Source organism: Homo sapiens, chromosome 4 (genome assembly GCF_000001405.40).
Source record: "Homo sapiens chromosome 4, GRCh38.p14 Primary Assembly".
Lineage (NCBI taxonomy): Eukaryota > Metazoa > Chordata > Mammalia > Primates > Hominidae > Homo > Homo sapiens.
Genome location: NC_000004.12, coordinates 159,563,799 through 159,585,675, shown reverse-complemented (window position 1 = coordinate 159,585,675; position 21,877 = coordinate 159,563,799). Strand labels below are relative to the sequence as shown.

General features: G+C 37.1%; 1 long non-coding RNA gene across 2 annotated transcripts in view; it reads right to left on the bottom strand.

Moving 5' to 3' along the window:
* Positions 1–21,877, bottom strand: part of LOC107986324 (uncharacterized) — a 487,144-nt gene that overhangs the window by 441,791 nt on the left and 23,476 nt on the right. The gene's annotated exons all lie outside the window — the stretch shown is intronic.

Below are 21,877 nucleotides of genomic sequence, written 5' to 3'. Positions count from 1 at the left end.
AGGAGCTCACCCTTGGGGCTGGGACAGAATTTGGGAAGCAGTGGGAACTACCACCAGGGGCATCAGAGCATGGCCCCATGGCTGGCTGCCACAGTCTCTGTCAAGGACAAGAAAAAATTCACTATTTAAAATTAAAAAAAAAAAAAAGAAAAAACCTCTTCTTAATTCAAAAGGGGAGGAGGGTTATTCCACAATTACTGATAATTTGAATCTTTTTTTTTTTTTTAGTTTTTGTTTCTCAGGTTCAAAATTAGATTAATTGCATTCTCTCCTATGTCATATTATTGGTGAAAAATGATTTTAATCAGCTTCTCAAAGTGTAGGTTGCCCATGTTTAAATTCAAGTATGTTGTTTGTGTATCAGTATTTCTAAAATAGTCAAAAATACTTAATAATTTCCACCAAAAAGGTAAAGATTTTGTTGCATTTTGATTTACTGCATGCAGTTGCTTATTTTCTTCCTTCCTTTCTTCTTCTTTTTTTTTTTTTTTTTTGAGACAGAGTTTTCACTCTTGTTGCCCAGGCTGGAGTGCAATGGCACAATCTCAGCTCACTGCAAACTCTGCCTCCTAGTGCAAGCGATTCTCCTGTCTCAGCCTCCTGAGTAGCTGGGATTATAGGCATGTGCCACCACACCTGGCTAATTTTGTATTTTTAGTAGAGATGGGGTTTCTCCATGTTGGCCAGGCTGGTCTCAAACTCCTGACCTCAGGTGATCCACCTGCCTTAGCCTCCCAAAGCACTGGGATTACAGGCGTGAGCCACTGCACCCGGCCTATTTTCTTCCTTTCAACCATACCCCACTTCCTGCTTCCCTCATAATAGGATAATCTTCAGACCAAGTTATGTTCTTATAACAAATCTAAATTTTAAAAGTCTAAATACTGATTTTTAGAATATATTGATAATTACTCTCAAAAACTCTTCTTTAGAGAAGTAATACTGTTTTCCATCTATTCAAAATAAATTTTAGTTTAACTAATGTGTTTCAAAGATTCCTATTTAGAAGTATTTAATAATTGAGAAGTTTGCAGCCAAGAGATTCAAAAGTTAAAGTTTTCAATATTTCTAATTAGAATATCCCATGTGTGCCAGGCGCAGTGGCTCACACCTGTAATCCCAGCACTTTGGGAGGCCGAGGCAGGCAGATCACCTGAGGTAGAGAGTTCGAGACCAGCCTGACCACATGGAGAAACCCTATCTCTACTAAAACTACAAAATTAGCCGGGTGTGGTGGCGCATGCCTGTAATCCCAGCTATTCGGGAGGCTAAGGTAGAAGAATTGCTTGAATCCAGGAGGCGGAGGTTGCAGTGAGCCGAGATCGCACCACTGTACTCTAGCCTGGGCAACAAGAGCAAAACTCCACCTCAAAAAAAAAAAAAAAGAATATCCCATGTGTATTTTAAGGATCTACAATGTCATCGGAGGGTCAAGATTAACTTACATTTTTTGCAAAACAATGTTTACACTTTAGAAAGCCATGAGAAGTTTCAAATATTAGTAACATATATTATAGCTTCTTTTTCACGTAGCAAACTGGAAAATTAGCAATCCATGTATGAATCCCCAACACCAAGCCATCAACTTTACATATCCATACAGTGAAGGCAGATATATTATTATAATTCATGGCCATGTAGTTTCAAAAACTCAATTCTTTTTTTATATTAAATCATGTAAGCAAATGTATCCAAAATATGTGTGTGAGAGGCAGAAAATAATGTCAAATAATTCTGAATGACTATGAAAACTCTGGATGTTGTCTTCAAATACATTTCAATCTCAGAATATTTTATAGGGGCAAGTCTGAGATAAGATGCCATAGCCTTCTTTTATATATAAATAATAGTTGTTTAGTGAAGTTTTTATACTAGCACTTTAGATAGAAGAGAGGAAGAGAGGCTTTGAACAAGGTTACATATTTAATTTATGTCCCTCATGAATTCTCAGCTACCCTCTGGGCCTTAAATGTAGAAGTTGGACATTGACAGTAATTATTTTGGATTGCACTGCATGAAGGCAGCTGAGTGTAATACTGTACTTCAAAGAAGTGCAGCCTTGTGTCACTTTGAACAACCATCATGAATATAACTTGAAGTGTTCAGGGATGTCTTTACAGAAGTGATCTTTGTAGATAAGTGATTTTCTTTAGATGGTAATATAACCACATGCATGTACACATAGAGATTTTTTTAAAAGAAGAGGTAGAAAACTTGTAACTATGAACCAAACTGTCTTTTGAAAACGTTGAATTAAAATGAAATTTTAAGTGCACTATTAATAGAAGTTTTTAAAACAGCGTAAGAAGTATGAAAATAGATGTTAAACTATTTAAAGCCAATATATGTTGGTAAGATGGCTTTCTTTCTGACTCCTTACAAAGGCAAACCTGCTGAAACTCAACTCTGTATAATTGGGTGGAAAAAATCTCTTTATCTCCAAGAGCTCATAAATTCTACTTTTGTCTTCAGACTACAACAAGATTTGAGTGGAAAGCTAAGGTCTTTCTGGTTAGAACTGTCAACCTGAAAGAGGCAGACTCTAATTCTTTTACATACACATGTGTATGTCTCATACACACAAACACACACACTCCTACATCATTCTATAAGACCAAACCATTTAAAGGCTTAGTATTCACTCATAAAACATTTGTATTCAATTTTTACAGCAGGCACTGAGCTACAGACTGGATTTGGGGATGAACAGGATGCAAAAGGATTCTGCCCCAGAGAAACATAATCTACTGATTGAGACAGACCTGTAATCAAACACTTTAATCCCTAGCCCAATTCCAAGGTCATGCTACTGAAAAGCCCAGGTATTAACAATACTCTTGGAAAAATCAATATTTCATGAAAAAAAAGGAAAAAAACAAATTATATTACAGCTATTTTAAACCCAACAAAAATACAAGTTAGAAAAGCCATCTTCTTCCAAACTAAACAGAAGAATATTTGTTAAAAACCTGCTTGGGTTAGTAACATTCTCCTGGATCACCCTCCTCTATTATTCAGCAAATAACAGTATGTCTTCATGATCAGCTAAAACAAATTCTTCCATAACTTTTTTAGGGCTTTTTTTGGTTGTTGTTGTTTTTTAGCCTTGAAACCAGATTTTACCTTATATCTTGTATTTCTTTCCATGTAACTAGATAATGTTTAAAATACTAACTGAGACTGCTTTTCTTTAGGCTTTCTTATCTTTTTGTTCTTTTTCTCAGAAGACAGCTAGCTTAGCCAGTAAGAATTGAATTTTTAGTTTTAAATCCCAAAATACACTCTTTAATTTCATAGAATAAAATAGGAGAGACAGTAGTCTTGAAGGTCAAGACTTTCACCATCAGAAGCAAAGTTTCTGGAAAAAGAAACTATCCCTCGGTGGGAGGAGTAGCAAGAAAAAAAAAAAAAACCATTTTTAATCTACCAAATGTGGGAAATTTACTTTTGGCAACTAGCAAACTTTTCTTACTGAGCATGTGTGTCATATGATAGAAAGAGAAGTAAACTGAAAGCCAAAATAGTTACATTCTAATATCAAATCTGTCATGATCAAACAGTCTTAGTCAAGCCATTTAATTGTTCTGGCCCTTACTTTTCTCATGCGTAAGATGTAACAGTGGGCAAGGAATATCTAAGGCCACTTTCCATTCTAAAATCCTAATATGTGAAAGACAGTTGCTATACTAAATCCTGTGGAATATATATAATCAGACATTGGGCAAAATCCATCAGAAAGCTTAAAATACAATTGTAAAATCAGGACAAATACATATATGTGTGTGTGTGTGTGTGTGTGTATATATATATATATGTTCATACATATGAACATAACTAAAAATACAAAGCATGTCCTGATCTTACTTTCTAAGCATTTTTCCACACTAAAAGGAACAAGAGCTTCTTGGGAAAATGGCTGATTCCAAGGCTACGGTAAGAAAGCTTGAGACAAGCCTGGGTCATTTTGGTGAATCAGAAAGAAACTACTCAAAAAAATATTAAGACATATCAAAAGGGTAAAAAAGCCAGTTTGAAGTAGTTCCCACTTACTAAGCATGGAAAAATTGTAATATCAAAATAAACATTAACGGTAATAGCAATAATAGATTTTAAGAAACTTTGATTTCATACTAATAAATAAATACATAAACAAAGATAGCAGGAAAGCTCTTCCTTACTGTAGAATATCAACCAATAAGTGTAAAATGAATAATAGACATAAAAATACACCATTTTCAATCACCACAGGGAAGAATCATAAATGGATGCTAAAAAGCTATTAAGTCAATGTTTAATGAGGAAAAAGGATATTTACATAAGCACAAAGTTTTTCCACACAGAAAAATAAGCAGCATTATATTGAGAAATCTGGTGGGCATCACCTTACTAATTAATCAAAGTTATTATCACCAATTGCGAGATAGATTGGTATCATGTACCTCCTGTTATGATAGACAGAGAAGGATGCAAAATCACTTAAGTAATATTTCTGCCAGAAAATACTCTGAATTTTATCATTAAGAAATGACAAACTCGGCCGGGCGTGGTGGCTCATGCCTGTAATCCCAGCACTTTGGGAGGCTGAGGTGGGCAGATCGCCTAAGGTCAGGAGTTTGAGACCAGCCTGGCCAACATGGTGAAACCCCATCTCTACTACAAATACAAAAAAATTAGCCAGATGGGCTGGTGGGAACCTGTAATCCTAGCTACTCAGGAGGCTGAGACAGGCAAATATCTTGAACCCAGGAGGCAGAGGTTTCAGTGAACCGAGATTTAGCCATTGCACTCCAGCCTGGGTGACAGAGCAAAACTCCATCTCACAAAAAAAAAAAAAAAAAAGACAAACTCAAGCATTCTACAAAACAAAAATTATTTGCAAAAATCAGTGTAATTAAAGACAAAAACAAAACAAAGCAAACAGCAGCAATAAATGCTGATAAACTATTCCAGATTAAAGGAAACTAAAGAAACATAAAAACCAAAAATGCAAAGCATGATATTCTATTAAATCCTGTGTCCAGAAAAAAAATGTTATAAAGAACATAATTGGGGCCATATATGAGAACTCACAACTAATATCATACTGACCAGGGAAAAATTGAAAGCCTTTCTTCTAAGATCTGGAACAAGACAAGGTTGTCTGCTTTCACCAATTCTATTCAATATAGTACTGGAAATTTTATCTAAAGCAATTAGACAAGAGAAGGAAATAAAAATTAAACAAATTGGAAAGGAAAATTTCAGAAAGTCCTTTTTTGGAGATAATGTGATTCTATATTTTTAAAAAACCTAAAGACTACACCAAAAAACTGTTAGGACTGATAAATGAATTTGATAAAGTTGCAAAATACAACATCAGCAGACAGAATTTAGTAGTATTTCTCTATGACAACAGCAATCAATCTGAAAAAGTAATCTAGAAAGCAATGCCATTTACAATTGCTAAAAAATAAATAATTAGGAATAAATTTAAACAAAGAAGTGAAAAAACTTCATTGAAAACTACAAAACATTAATACAAGAAATTGAAGAAGACACAAAATAATTGAAAGATATTCCATATTTGTGAATTGGAATAATAATATTGTTAAAATCTGCATTCTACCCAAAGTGATCTAGAGATTCAATGCAATCCCTATCAAAATACCAATAACATTCTTCACAGAAATAGAAAAAAATTCCTCAAATTCATATGGAACCACAAAAGACCCCTAATAGCAAAAGCAATCCTTACAAAGCTAGAGATATCACACTATCTAACTTCAAAATATACTAGAAAGCTATAGGAAACAAAACGGCATGGTACTGGCTTAAAAACAGATACACAGACCAATGGAACAGAATAGAAAATCCAAAAGTAAATCCACAAATTGAAAGCCAACTCACTTTCAACAATGGCACCAAAAATATATAATACATTGGAGAAAGGATACCTCTTCAATAAATGGTGCTGGAAAAATTGCATATCCATATGCAGAAGAATAAAACTAGATTCCTATCTCTCTCATACAAAAATCAAATCAAAATAGATTAAAGACTTAAATGTAAGACATGCAATTATAAAACTACTAGAATAAAACATTGGAGAAATACTTCAGGATATTGACCTGGGCAAAGATTTTTTTTTTTTTTTAGTAAAACCTCAAAAGCACAGACAACAAAAGCAAAAATAGAAAAATGGAATTACATCAAACTAAAATGCTTCTGCACAGCAACATTAACAGACTGAAGAGACAACCCACAGAATGGGAGAAAATATTTGCAAACTATTCATCTGAGAAGGGATTAATTACTAGACTGTATAAGAAACTCACACAACTCAATAGCAAGAAACAATTCAATGAAAAAATAAGCAGGCCAGGTATAGTGGTTCCTGCCTGTAATCCCAGCACTTTGGGAGGCCAAAGCAGACAGATCACTGGAGGTCAGGAGTTCAAGACCAGCATGGGTAACTTAGCAAGACCCTGCCTCCACACACACACACACACACACACACACACACATATAAAAATTAATTGCTGGGAATGGTGGCACATACCTATAGCCCTAAGTACTCAGGAGGCTGAGGCAGGAGGATTGTTTGAGCCTGGGAGTTTTAGGCTGCAGTGAGCAATGATCACACCATGCACTCCAGTCTAAGTGACAGAGTGAGACACTGTCCCTAAAAAAAGGAAGGGGCAAAAGATCTGAAGAGGCCAGGCAAGGTGGCTCATGCCTGTAATCCTAGCACTTTGGGAGGCTGAGATGGGCAGATCACTTGAGCTGAGGAGTTCAAGACCAGCCTGGCTAACATGGTGAAACCCCATCTCTACTCAAAATACAAAAATTAGCCAGGTGTGTCAGTGCAAGCCTGTAATACCAGCTACTCAAGAGGCTGAGGTGGGAGAATCACTTGAACCCAGGAGGCAGAGGTTTCAGGGAACCGAGAGAGTACCATCGTGCCATGGCATTGCAGCCTGGGTGACAGAGTGAGACACTGTCTCAAAAAAAAAAAATCTGAAGAGATATTTCTCAAAAGAAGATATATAAATGGCCAACAGGTATATGAAAAATGCTGAATGTCACTAATCAGGGAAATAAAATCAAAACCACAGTGAGATATCATCTCATCCCCATTAAAATGACTATTATCAATAAGACAGAAAATAAGGATGACAAGAAAGGGGAACACTCATACACTGTTGCTGGAAATGTAAATTATCATAGCAACTATGAAAAATAGTATGGAGTTTTCTCAAAAACAAAAAAATATAACTAATATAAGATCCAACAATCTCACTGCTAGATTATAGATCCAAAAGAATGGAAATCAGTATATTGAAGAAATATCTGTACTCCCATGTATATCTCAGCACTATTCACAATAGCCAAGATACAAAATCAACCTAAGTGACAATCAACAGATGAATAAAGAAAATGTGATATATATATATGGATATATATGATGGAATATTATTCAGCTATAAAAAGAATAAAATCCTGCCATTAGTAGCAACATAGACAGGACTGGAGGGCATTATGTTAAGTGAAATAAGTCATGCCAAAAAAAAAGATAAATATCACATGTTCTTACCCATATGCGGTAGCTTAGAAATAAAAATAAATTTTAAAATAATGATCTAATGGAGATAGTGAGTGGAATTGTATTTACCAGAGCCTGGAAAGGGTAAGAAAAAAAAGAGATGAAAAGAGGTTGGTCAATGGGTATAAAAATACACTTAGGTAGAAGAAATAAGTTCCAATTTTCAATAGCACAATAAGGTGATCATTACACATTGTATGCATGTATCAAAATACCGTATGTACCCCCATAAATATGTACAACTGTTATGTATCAATAAAACAAATCAAAAAAGAACATCATTGAGACAGCTGATAAAATTTCGATATGTATTAGATAGGAGTTTGGGTCTGACATGTAAAGAGCCTGGATATCATTACTCCCATCCTCACAACAAGAAAAAAGCTGAAAAAATAAAAAATTTACAACTCTTCTTAGACCCATCAAAGAATTAAGGCCTTAGGGCAAGCCATCATACTGAAAATTGAGACAGATGAATACACAATATCACAGCTTGTGTTCCATCACCTCCCCAGTGGCCCTGACCTTGTTAGTAAGTCCTCTTATTTCTCCAAACCTCCTGCCTTGGTTGAGGTTTAGGCTTTCATCGGGTGTTCTTTGTTGCCAACTGTCAACAAAGGAATTTTTTCCTTTTCAGTGAGTACTCATGGGGACTTCTAAGGGTATAGGTGCCAAGTCACTCCTTTCTGGAAACCCTGCTGCTTTTATGTACAAAAGTTACAGTCTTTCTCAATGGAACAACATCACTAAAAGTGATTTGAAACCACAATGGCCAACCTGAGGATCATTTGATTTGCCAAAACTTGTTTTCCTCTGTGGACAATTATAACGGCTAGAAGAAAAGATTAAATAGCCTGTCAGGGCGCAGTTGCTCACACCTGTAATCCCAGCACTTTGGGAGACTGAGGCAGCAGATCACACTCCAGGTCAGGAGTGTGAGACCAGCCTGGCCAACATGGTGAAACCCTGTCTCTATTAAAAATACAAAAATTAGCTGAGCATGGTCATGCACTTTTAATCCCAGCTACTCGGGAGACTGAGGGATGAGAATCGCTTGAATGCACGAGGCGGAAGTTGCAGTGAGCTAAGATCGCACCACTGCACTCCAGCCTGGGCAACAGAGCGAGACTCTATCTCAAAAAAAAAAAAAAAAAAGAAAAGACTAAATAGCCTGAGTGGGAAGTCTGCTCGTATCTTGAGGCATTCAAGAGACTCCAGAAATCAAACCTAATATCCCTAAGAGATAATAATGACAAATAAGCTCAAAGACTTTCTAAATTACAAAAGAACTCAGAAACTTCTAAAGGTAAGTCAAAAAACAAGTGTACCTCTATCTCTTTGACCTTGTCCTGTGTTGCTTTCCCCTTCTAGCTGTACCCCTTCCCAACCCACTGCTGTCCTATGCACCCTCTTGCTTACTGCCTGTCTACCCTTCCCTAACTGAACTTCCCTTTTTTGATGAACCCTGTGGTGGTTAATATTGAGTGTCAACTTGATTGGATTGAAAGATGCATAGTACTGTTCCCGCATGTGTCTGAGAGGGTATTGCCAACAGAGATTAACATTTGAGTCAGTGGACTGGGAAAGGCAGACCCACCCTTAATCTGGGTGGGCACAATCGAATCAGCTGCCAGAATAAAAAGCAGGCAGAAAAATGTGAAAAGACTAGACTGGCTTAGCCTCCCTGCCTATATCTTTCTCCCATGCTGGATGCTTCCTGCCCTCAAACATCAGACTTCAAGTTCTTCAGCTTTGGGACTCGGACTGGCTTTCTTGCTCCTCAGCTTTCAGACAGCGTATTGTGGGACTTTGTGATCATGTGAGTTACTACTCCGTAATAAATTCCCCTTTATATATACATCTATCCTATTAGTTCTGTCTCTCTAGAGAATCTTGACTAATACAAACCCCTTGTTGAATCTCCTCCTGTCACCCAAGCCTCTTTTAAAGTTGAATCAAATGAAGGAGGCTCTGGAAATTCTGTTGCTTATTATACTCCCTGAACTCAGGGTGATGACCAAAGATTTCCCTGATCCCTTAGTTGAGCCTGTCAGATTTTCCAAAGAATTTGACCTCCTTACTAAGCCTACCAACCAGGTTACTCTGATCTTTATGTATGAATTGATCCACATGTTAGTAGGTGAAAGCCATGCTCAAACATGGTTAAGTAAAGTACACTGGCACCATGCTTTAGATCACCTAAATAAAAGAAAACCTGGAGATTTCCCAAATACTCAAAAACTAGCCAATGGATTATATACTTAGATTTCTGAAGTATTTCCAAAAACTATAGACTGGGAAAAGATTCAACAGTGTACTCAAGAACCTGAGTAACGAATCTATAAATACTGTGACAGATTAGACACAGTCTATTTATAATATCCAGGTTTAGATAAAGTTTACTATCAAACTTCCTCTCTGTTTGATTCTACTTTTGTTAATGGGTTAGAGGAAGAACTTAGCACCCTAATGAAACATAAGCAATTAAATTGGGCCACTGCAGAAACCCCCAACCTACTTAATTTGGCTGAACAAGTTTCCAAAATCAAAAAGAAATCAGCTAAACAAAAAGCTGCTAGAGTCATAGATTTTCAGATTCAAACTGCAAAAGTTATGAACTACCAAATGCAGCAACTAGAATTAAACAAATCCCAAAAAACACCATAAAGCCCTTGTCATTATTACAAGGAAGCAGGTCTTTGGAAAAACGAATGCCACAGACTACAAAGACTTAAAATGAAATCATAGAAAAGCATGATATTTTGGATGAAACCTGAGAAAGAACCTTTTTCTTTCTCTTCTAAGACAAAATGCTAGGTATTCTCTGAGGAACAAAGGGAAATTGCCCTTTTCTTTTAGTCTACACTTTAGGTGAAATTAGAATAATCACTTAAAATGGAGCAACTAGAACCTCATTGACATGGGGGTCACATTTTCAGTAATAAACCCAACCACACTTCCTGTTTCCCTTCCTCAGGGTAACAACAAATATACAAATGGTTGGGGGGTTCAGATAAACCAATGGCAGTTTACCAGTCTCTCCCTACAGACTTTTAACTTGCAAAACTCTAGGACTCTCATCAATTTCTGTTAGTCCTTATTGGCTGAGATTTTCTGAAAGCACACAAAACTTACATTTCTTTCTCTCAAAAAAAAAAGGAAATACAATTAACATAGAAAAAAACTACTGAAGAGGGAACCCTCAAAGAACCCACAGAATTCTCAGTACCTATATTTTCAGTTCTTTAAAACAAGGAGAAAATACTTCCCAATGAAATATTTCAAGACCTACTAATCTCTATCCCTAAACACTTATGGTTTAAATATGCCACTGACATTAGCCATACTCATTAAGCACCACCAATTAAAATACAAATAATGAAACAAAAATACTTTCAAATATTAAACAATACCCTTTATGCCAGGAAGCTATTCAGGAAATCAAATCAATTATGCAGGATTACTTCAAACAGGGGATAATCATTCCACGTACTAACCCATTTAATACCCCGATCCTAGTGTTATAAAACTCTAATAACTGGGGAGCGACATTTGCCCAAGACTAAAGAGCCATCGTGGCATTGTTATACCCCATCATCATGTTGTACCAAACCCACATACATTAGCCAAATCACTAGATAGGTTTTCACTGTGATTGACATCTGCAGTGTTTTCTTTAGCATTCTAGTTGATCCGGATAGCCAATCTTTTTGCTTTCATGTGAGATGGACAATACACCTTTACAGTAATGTTCCAGTGGTATACTGAAAGATTTAGGTACTTCTCCCAAGTCTTCAAAGCAAACTTAGCAAACTTGGAATTTCCTTTGCATTCTGTTCTCACCTAGTGTGTGGATAACTTATTACTTTGCACCTCTATCCTAAAGGCTCCATAGAGGACAGCCTTTACCTACTAAAGAAATTAGCCACCAAAAGCCATAAAGTTTCAGAAGGGAAGCTATAACTCTCTTCCACACATGTAAAATATTTAGGATGTCTAATTTCAAGACAGGATTTTTTGCTTGATTCCCCAAAGAATAAAAACAATCTTGGATTTTCTTGGCCCCACCAAAAAAGAAAGACAACTCTGTGGGATCCTGGGATTAGTAGGATACTACAGACAATGGATTCCAAGTCTCTCTGCCATGGCTCAGGCTCTGTATTCTTTTTTAAAGTCTGACCCATCCCAAACCTCTACAATGGCTAGAGGATGCCATCTCCTCTTTTGATAACAATAAAGAGAGTCTTCGTTAGCCCCCTATATTAAGACATCCTAATTATAACCTTCTCTTTTCCCTTTTTGTTCGTGAACAAAATGGAAATGCCTTAGAAGTTCTTAGACAAAAGCATGGTGACTATCAGAGACCCCTCAGATATTACAGCCAACAGTTAGACCCTGTGTCTAAATAACTCCCACCCTGTATGCAGGCCATCACATCCACTGCAAATTTATTAAAGGCAATTAGGAGTTAATTATGGGCTCTCCATTAATGGTTTATGTCCCTCACTCTATCGAGGCCTTACTGATCTCTCATCATGGCCACCATCTCTCTTCGAGCAGACCCACTTCTTATGAGAACCTATTATTATCAACCTCTAATGTAACTATTGCTCCCTGCAACTCTTTAAGTCGTGCCAACTCTTATCCACTTTCTTCTAGCAAGACACCACATGATTTTATAACTCTAACTGAAACCTTACTAACCCCCGGGCACGACCTACAGGAAACCCCCATTCCAAGTGCTAAGCTAGTCTGATTTACTGATGAATCTTACCTTTGAAATAATTCAGGGAAACATCAAGATTTCTATACTGTTGTCTCACTGTCTGAAATCATTGAAAGTGGTCCCTCACCCAAGGCCATTTCTGCCCAATAGGCAGAACTTTTTGCTGTCTGCTAACATGTATGCTAGCAATTAATAACATTGCAAATATCTCTACCGATAGCCACTATGCTTTGGGGGCAGCATATGATTTTCATATGCTCTGGAAGCGGGTTTTCTAACCTTATTGACCAAAATTAAAAGCAACAGTGATTGTAATCCAGAATTACTCCAAGCTATCCAAAAATTTGTCTTTAGCAATAATTAAAATCCCAGGAAACTCAAAAACTGATAGTAAAGAAGATAAAGGAAATTACACGCCTGACACAACTGGAAAAGCCACAGCTTCCAAGAACCAACTGCCCATAGCTCAATATCCCCTTAAAACCTCTAATGGCCAGTTTGATACAATCGAAAACTTTATCCCCCATACATAACAGATAGCCCTTTGAATTGAAAAAACAAATGGAAAACTTGAGGTTGTTTTTATGATTCTAAAACTAGCCTGTGATATGGGCCTAAAAAGAGACCTGTCTTAACAGATGACCTCCAAGATCAAATTTTATATTAAATTAATTCATCATATAAACCATTGGGGAAAATGAAAAAATGACTCTATGGGGAATAATATCATAGGAATCCTTCCACAAAAGTCACTTCTCAAATGTATCACATATATCAAGTCTGTCCCAAATACAACCCGTGAAAACCTATTCATAGTTCTATAAGACATTTTCCTTTGCCTTCAGTATCTTTTGAGATATGGCAGATGGACTTTATCCAGATACCAACATTCTAAGGATATAAATGTGTCTTGGTTATGATTTTTATGTTTGCCCACTGGGTTGAAGCAACAGCCTCAGCAGTAAGTAAAATCCTATTAGAAAAAATAATCTCCACACGGGGAATACCCTTGGAACTGCACAGTGACCAAGGCACTCATTTTTACCAGGCAGATTATACAATCAATATGTAAGCTTTGACCTATTCTACAACATTTCCTACTACTACTGTGTCTACTACTCACAGTTCCCTGGGTTAGTGGAACATACTAATGGAACAATTAAGATCCAATGGCAAAATGAATTTAATATCTCAATCAACCCTGGCCAAAAGCTCTGCCCTTAGTGCTGCTTAATCTTAGATCTACCCCTGTCGAAAACATAGCTTATTTCCACTTAAGATAATTACTGAAAGACCCATGGACTTAGACAAAATACTTTATGAATCAAAGCTAATCAAAGGTGACACACTGACCTATTGTAAGGAATGGATCCAGGTATTAACAACAAAAAAAAAGGTAGAGTAATCTTTCTGCAGTACACTTCCAGGAAATAAAGGTCAACATCAATGCAATCTACAACCTGGAGATTTTGGATATTGAAAATGACATATCATCCAGGAGAACTTCCCCAGTCTATCAAGACAGGCCAACATTCATATTCAAGAAATGTAGAGAACCCCAGTAAAATATTCCACTAGAAGATCAGCCCCAAGACACATAATCATCAGATTCTCCAAGGTCAAAATGAAAGAAAAAATGTTAAGAGCAGCTAGAGAGAAAGGCAAGGTCACCTAAAAAGGGAAGCCCATCAGGCTAACAGTGGATCTCTCAGTGGAAACTCTACAAGTCAGAAGAGAGTGGTGGCCAATATGCAACATTCTTAAAGAAAAGAATTTCCAACCCAAAATTTCATATCCAGCCAAACTAAGCTTCAAAAGCAAAGGAGAAATAAGATCCTTTTCAAACAAGCAAATGCCAAGGGAATTCATCAACACCAGGCCTGCCTTGCAAGAGCTGCTGAAGGAAACACTAAAAACCATTACCAGCCACTACAAAAACACACTGAAGTACACAGACCACTGACACTATGAAGCAACCACATATACCTGTCTGCAAAATAACCAGCTAGCATCACCATTACAGAATCAAATTTAAACATAACAATACTAACTTTAATTGTAAATGGGCTAAATTCCCCAATTAACAGACACAGAAAGGCAAGCTGGATAAAGAGCCAAGACCCATAGATAGACTGTCATCAAGAGACCCATTTCACATGCAAAGACACAAATAGGCTCAAAATAAAGGAAAAGTTTATCAAGCAAATGGAAAATGGGAAAAAAAATGGGTGGCAATCCTAGTTTCTGATAAAACAGACTTTAAACCAACAAAGATCAAAAAAGACAAAGAAGCACATCACATAATAGTAACAGGTTCAATTCAACAAGCAAAGCTAACTATACTAAACATATATGCACACAATACAGTAGCACCCAGATTCAGAAATCAAGTTCTTGGAGATCTACAAAGAGACTTAGACTCCCACACAATAATAGTTGGAGACTTTAACACCCCACTGACAATACTAGACAGATCATTGATTAAAAAAAAAAATCAAAGATATTCAAGACCTGAATTTGGCTCTGGATCAAGTGGATCTGATAGATATCTACAGAACTCTTCACCCCAAAACAACATAAAATACATTATTCTCAGTGCCACATGGCACTTACTCTAAAATTGATCACACTATCAGAAGTAAAATACTCCTCAGCAAATACAAAACACCTGAAATAACAGCCTCTCAGATCACAATCTGATCACACAATCAAATTAGAACTCAAGATTAAGAAACTCACTCAAAACCACACAACTACATGGAAATTGAACAACTTGCTCCTGAATGGTTTTTGGATAAATAATTAAACTAAGGCAGAAATTAAGAAGTTCTTTGAAACTTATTAAAACAAAGATACAATGTACCAGAATCTCTGGGATGCAGCCAAAGCAGTGTTAAGAGGGAAATTTATAGCACTAAATGTCCACATCAAAAAGCTAGAAAGATCTCAAGTTAGCAACATAACATCACAACTACAGGAACTAGAGAACCAAGAACAAACAAACCCCAAAGCTAGTAGAAGACAAGAAATAACCAAGTTCAAAGTTGAACTGGAGATAGAGACACAAAAAGCCTTTTCGAAAATCAATGAATCCAGGAGCTTTTTTTGAAAACACTAATAAAAGAGATAGACCACTAGCTAGACTAATAAAGAAAAGATAGAAGAAGCGAATAGAGACAATCAGAAATGATAAGGGGGGATATCGCCACTGACCCCACAAAAATACAAACAACCATCACAGAATAGCATAAACACCTCTATGCACATAAACTAGAAAATCTAGAAGAAATTGATGAATCCCTGGACACATACACCCTCCCAAGACTGAACAGGAAGAAACTGAATCCCCAAATAGACCAACAAAATCTCTGAAATTGGGGCAGTAATAAATAGCCTACCAACCAAAAAAAGCCCAGGACCAAATGGATTCACAGTTAAATTCTACCAAGGTACAAAGAAGAGCTGGTACCATTTCTATTGAAAATATTTGAAAAACTTGAAAAGTAGGGTCTCCTCCCTAACTCATTCTATGAGGCCAGCATCATCTTGATATCAAAGCCTGGCAGAGTATACAACAGAAAAAAAAAAAAAAAACTTCAGGCCAATATCCCTGATGAACATTAATGTAAAAATCAATAAAATACTGGCAAACTGAATCCAGCAGCACGTCAAAAAGCTTGTCCACCACAATCAAACTAACTTCATCCATGGGATGCAAGGTTGGTTCAACATATGCAAATTAATAAATGCAATTCATTACATAAGCAGAACTAAAGACAAAAACCACATGATTATCTCAATAGATGCAGAAAAGGCCTTCGATAAAATTCAACATCCCTTCATCTTAAAAACTCTCAATAAACTAGGTATTGAAGGAACATACTTCAAAATAATAAGAGCCATATATGAAAAACCCACAGCTGATATCATACTGAATGGAAAATAGCTGGAAGCATTCCCCTTGAAAACTAGCACAAGACAAGGATGCCCTCTCTCACCACTCCAGGTCAACATAGTATTGGAAGTTCTGGCCAGGGCAATCAGGCAAGAGAAAGAAATAAATAGTGTCCAAATAGGAAGAGAGAACATCAAATTATCTTTGTTCACAGACGACATGAACCTAAGTCTTGAATCTCATCATCTTAGCCCAAAAACTTCTTAAGCTGATAAACAACTTCCGCAAAGTCTCAGGATACAAAATCAATGTGCAAAAATCACTAGCATTCCTATATATCAACAACAGGCAAGCCAAGAGCCAAATCATGCATGAACTCCCATTCGCAATTGCTACAAAAAGAAAAAAATACCTAGGAGTAACAGCTAACAAGGGAAGAAAAGGACCTCTTCATGAAGAACTACAAACCACTGCTCAAAGAAATCAGAGAGGACACAAACAAATGGAAAAACATTTCATGCTCATTGATAGGAAGAATCAATATCATGAAAATGGCCATACTGCTCAAAGTAATTTATAGATTCAGTGCTATTCCCACTAAACTACCTCTGGCATTCTTCACAGAATTACACAAAACTATTTTAAAATTCATATGGAACCAAGAAAGAGCCTGAATAGCCAAGACAGTCCTAAGCAAAAAGAACAAAGCTGGAGGCACTGTGCTATCTGACTTCAAACTATACTACAATGCTACAGTAACCAACACAGCATGGTACTGGTACAAGAACAGACATACAGATCAATGGAACAGAATAGAGAATTCAGAAATAAGACTGCACACCTACAACAATCTGATCTTCAACAAACCTGACAAAAACAAGCAATGGAGAAAGGATTCCCTATTCAATAAATGGTGCTGGGAGAACTAGCTAGCCATATGCAGAAAATTGAAACTGAACATCTTCCTTAAACCATACACACAAATTAACTCAAGAAGAACTAAAGACTGAAATGTAAAACCCAAAACTATAAAAACCCTTGAAGAAAATCTAAGCAATACCATTCAGGACATAGGCATGGGCAAATATTTCATGACGAAAACACCAAAAGCAATTGCAACAAAAGCAAAAATTGATAAATGGGATCTAATTAAACTAAAGAGCTACTGCACAGCAAAAGAAACTGTTATCAGAGTGAACACGCAACCTACAGAATGGGAGAAAATTTTTACAATCTATCCACCTGACAAAGGTCTAACATCCTGAGTCTACAAGAAACTTAAACAAATTTACAGGAAAAGAAAACTAACAACCCCATTAAAAAGTGGGCAAAGGACATGAACAGACACTTCTCAAAAAAAAAGACATTCTTGTGGCCAAAAAACATATGAAGAAAAGCTCAACATCACTCATCACTAGAGAAAGGCAAATCAAAACCACAATGAGACGCCATCTCAGGCCACTCAGGATGGCTGTTATTAAAAAGTCAAAAAACAACAGATGCTGGCAAAGTTGCAGAGAAAAAGTAACACTTTTGCACTGCCAGTGGGAGTATAAATAAGTTCAATCATTGTGGAAGACAGTGTGACGATTTCTCAAAGATCTAGGGCTAGAAATACCATTTGACCCAGCAACCCCATTACTGGGTATATACCCAAAGGAATATAAATCATTCCATTATAAAGATACGTGCACACGTATGTTCATCGCAGCACTATTCACAATAGCAAAGATATGGAATCAACCAAAATGCCCATTACTGATAGACTAGATAAAGAAAGTGTGGGATATATATGCCATGGAATACTATACAGCCATAAAAAGGAATGAGACCATGTCCTTTGCAGGGACTGGGATGGAACTGGAAGCCATCATCCTCAACAAACTAATGCAGGAACAGAAAACCAAACATCACATGTTCTCACTTATAAGTGGGATTTGAATGATGAGAACAAATGGACACAGGGAGGGGAACAACACACACTGAGGCCTGTGAGAGGCAGGGAGAGGGAGAGCCTTAGGAATAATAGCTAATGGATGCTGGGCTTCATTCCTAGGTGCTGGGATAATCTGTTCAGCAAACCAGCATGGCACACGTTTACCGATGTAACAAACTTGCACATCCTGCACATGTACCTCTGAACTTAAAAGTTAAAGAAAAAAAAAAAAAATGACACCCACCTGGGGTTGGCTTATAATCAAGTGGAAAGAGCCTTACCAGATACTATTAACCAATCCTTGTACCGCTAAGCTTAAAAGCATTGATGTGTAGATACCTGTGTCTTATTTTTAAAAAAGATATCCCTCCCAAGGGGACCTCACAACCAGATGGAAATCTGCAAATTAAACTAAACAGGAACCACTCTGTTCAGTCTTGGAATAAGAAGCAGAAGATATCATAGGTTAACAGCTATCCCAAGTACGTGGACCAGGCCTGTATATCATTATCAGCCTTATAATTGTCATCATACTTCTTTTCATATGAATCACACAGCCCAAATCTTCAAACTCTTAATCTTGCTCATTACCTTATTAGGAATTTTGCTTAAATTCTTCATTCCAATATGTAACTACTTGAAAATTTCTGGTGGTTGCAATTAAGTTCTCTATGATGACATTACTCCTAATTTTTGTTATAAGTAACATACTAGCCAAATATTCAAGTTACTCCAAGGCTATGTACCAGATTAACTAATCTTTTCAAGATATCCCTGAAGACACATGGCATTTTCCCAACCCTTACCTATAATGAGGTCTAATTACCTCCTGCCCCACTTTTCCCTCATTATTTGCTATACCACACCCTTAAAAAATAATGCCATCATCCAGTATTCACAATCTTTAGCCACTTCTGGAAAGCTCTTCGAATGTTGGATTTACCACTTTTCCCCCACTAGAAACTTCTCAGATAATAATAACTCTGTGGTCACACCTATAACCAATTTTTCCTCTATAAAAAATTTTGCTGTTCAGTATGAATCTAACCTTACTTGCCCTACCTATTGTGCTCAACTCTTTCCTATCACTCCTTGTTTCTTCCTAACTCCACCCATTCACAGAAATCTCATGCACCAAATGTACTATTCTGCTTACAGTTTTAATGTTCATGGCTTATGACTACCTTAATCACAGCCAATTAAATCAGTCCTCCCTCATTTATAAGGTGTCATTATATTAAGCTTTTAAACAAGGTTGGGGACCCCTTTCCCTATGATCATCTGTGCCATTAACACCTCTGTCCCTGACAGCTAGACACTGCCTCATTTGACACTTTGTTTGTCCCATGTTATCCTTTCTGCCCACCAACAAATCCATTAACCCACAAAATTGATCTGGAATTTTTGTGCTTTCCTGGTTATCTCTTTGTGAACACAGTGGCTTCCCATGGGCTCAGAAATGTGTGGATAGCTGGAGGATGGGCAGCACTTGCCTTCTGGGCTATCTTACCTCACTTATAGTAGTACTAAAGCAATAACCACTGAATTAACTCCAAACTCTCACAAAACTGAAAGTGTCCTCTCAATAATTGATGATTAGCCCAATGGAGATCCCTCCAAATATGAAGACAATAGCTGCAGGCCTTCACAAAGCTGTGTCCTTCTTGGTGATCTTAATCCCAGTGAGGGTGCATGTCTAGTGACATTTTTTGGATCTTTTTCCTGGGTATAAGAACCTCCTGGCATGACTATATGATGTGAAGCCACTCCTGTACTGTGAGCCAAATTGCATGATCCACTGCTAGAGCCGTTAGAGCCAAAAAATAAAAAAATGAAAAAATAACCCACCTCTTTATACACTCTCTTGCCCATGTAATTCTTGACAACTGTATTGCTTTAGACTATTTACTGGGCGCTTAAGGATCAGTCAGTGCACCGGCAAATAACTCTTGCTACACTTGGATAAACACTTCCCATCAGGTTGAATTAGAAATTTCTAAAATTAGCCAAATCTTTTAAAGGAATACCTTCACAGGGATTTCCTCATAGTTTAATCTGAATTTTTCTGATATTTTTAATTGGCTTCGTATAGGTGTTGGCAACATCCTCAGGACCAGAATACAGCTATATAATAATAATTGTTATCTCTCTTCTAATTCTTATTTTCATCCTTTTCAAGACTTCTAGTGTCTATATTTCTCATTGCTGCCAAGCTACCCAAGATTTTCAGATTATGATATTACAATGTTTAGACATGGTTGCTAAAATGTGCGCCTCTTCTGCTATAACATCAATCACCATGGCTTGATGTGTCTCTCCTTGTTAGCATGGCCCCCTTGTTACTTAAATTTGGCCAATATCTAAAGCCTGGATACACACTGACTTTCAGCAGCCCTCCTTCTTGGAACATGACAGTCTAGAAACAGGTGCTTCTAGCTCCAAGGGAAACAACAAATTTGTGGCTGACCAACCAATAATTGATCAGTAATGCTTCTTTATGTTAGCTCTTGATCAAAAGGGAGAAATGTGAAATATAATACACAAAATGGTGTTGTTCTGGTTCTGAGTCCTAAAATGGAGTCAGGAAGCCATTCTAAGAAGGACTGCATGAATGTCCTGCCAACTTACAAAAAAAGCAACAACGACAACAAAACTTGCCTTGAACCCTTGAACTGGGCCCAACTACAATGATCACAACATCCTGGAAAGCAGCTGAATTTTCCCAGCGCTGCAGCTCCTGAACTGCAATAATCAATGAACTTTGGACTCGTGTACTAAGCCAGCCACCTTCACCAACGGTAATCCTTTCAAGACAACTTCTGTAATCGCCCTTAGTTTCCTTTTGATTTTCTCTTAAAAACTGTTATTCTCCTCCCTCTGTTTGAAACTCAATTTATCTCTACCTTAATCTGTGTCTTCCAAACTGCAAATTCCAAGACCCCAATTAATGCTTTGTCTTACTGTATTATAGTCTGGTCTTTTGCTTCTTTGTGGTTGATGATATTAACAGTTGGTAATTCTGGGTAAAGAATATACAAGAGTTCACACTATTCTCATAACTTTTCTGAATTTTTAATGTCATTTCAAAATAAAAAAAGATATGTGCGTATATAAAACAATATAATATAAATACCAAGTAAGTGGCATAGAAATTCTGTTAGATGTCAGAGAACTAAGGACAGTAGGGTGGGTACAATATAGGATCTGAGACATGAGATGAGCTATAAAATTTTGAAAATTCTCAGGGAAGCAAAGAGGAGCAGGGGACATAAACATGAAGAAAATAGCCTTCACAGGATGGGCGCAGTGGCTCACACCTATAATCCCAGCACTTTGGGAGGCCGAGGCAGGCGGATCATGAGGTCAGGAGATCAAGACCATCTTGGCCAACATGGTGAAACCCCGTCTCTACTAAAAATACAAAAAATTAGCTGGATGTGGTGGCGTGTGCCTGTAGTCCCAGTGTAGTCCCAGCTACTCAGGAGGCTGAGGCAGGGGAAGGGCTTGCACCCAGGAGGCAGAGGTTGCAATGAGCTGAGATCACGCCGCTGCACTCCAGCCTGGTGAGACAGCGAGGCTCCATTTCAAAAAAAATAATAAATAAATAAATAAATAGCCTTCACAAAAACAACAGTCAGGAATGTGCACAGTATGTTCAAAAGATGATGAGTAAATCTGTGCAGCTAGGTAATAAATATGTAAAATTAATAAAACTGTTTTACTATTTGTGAAAAAACA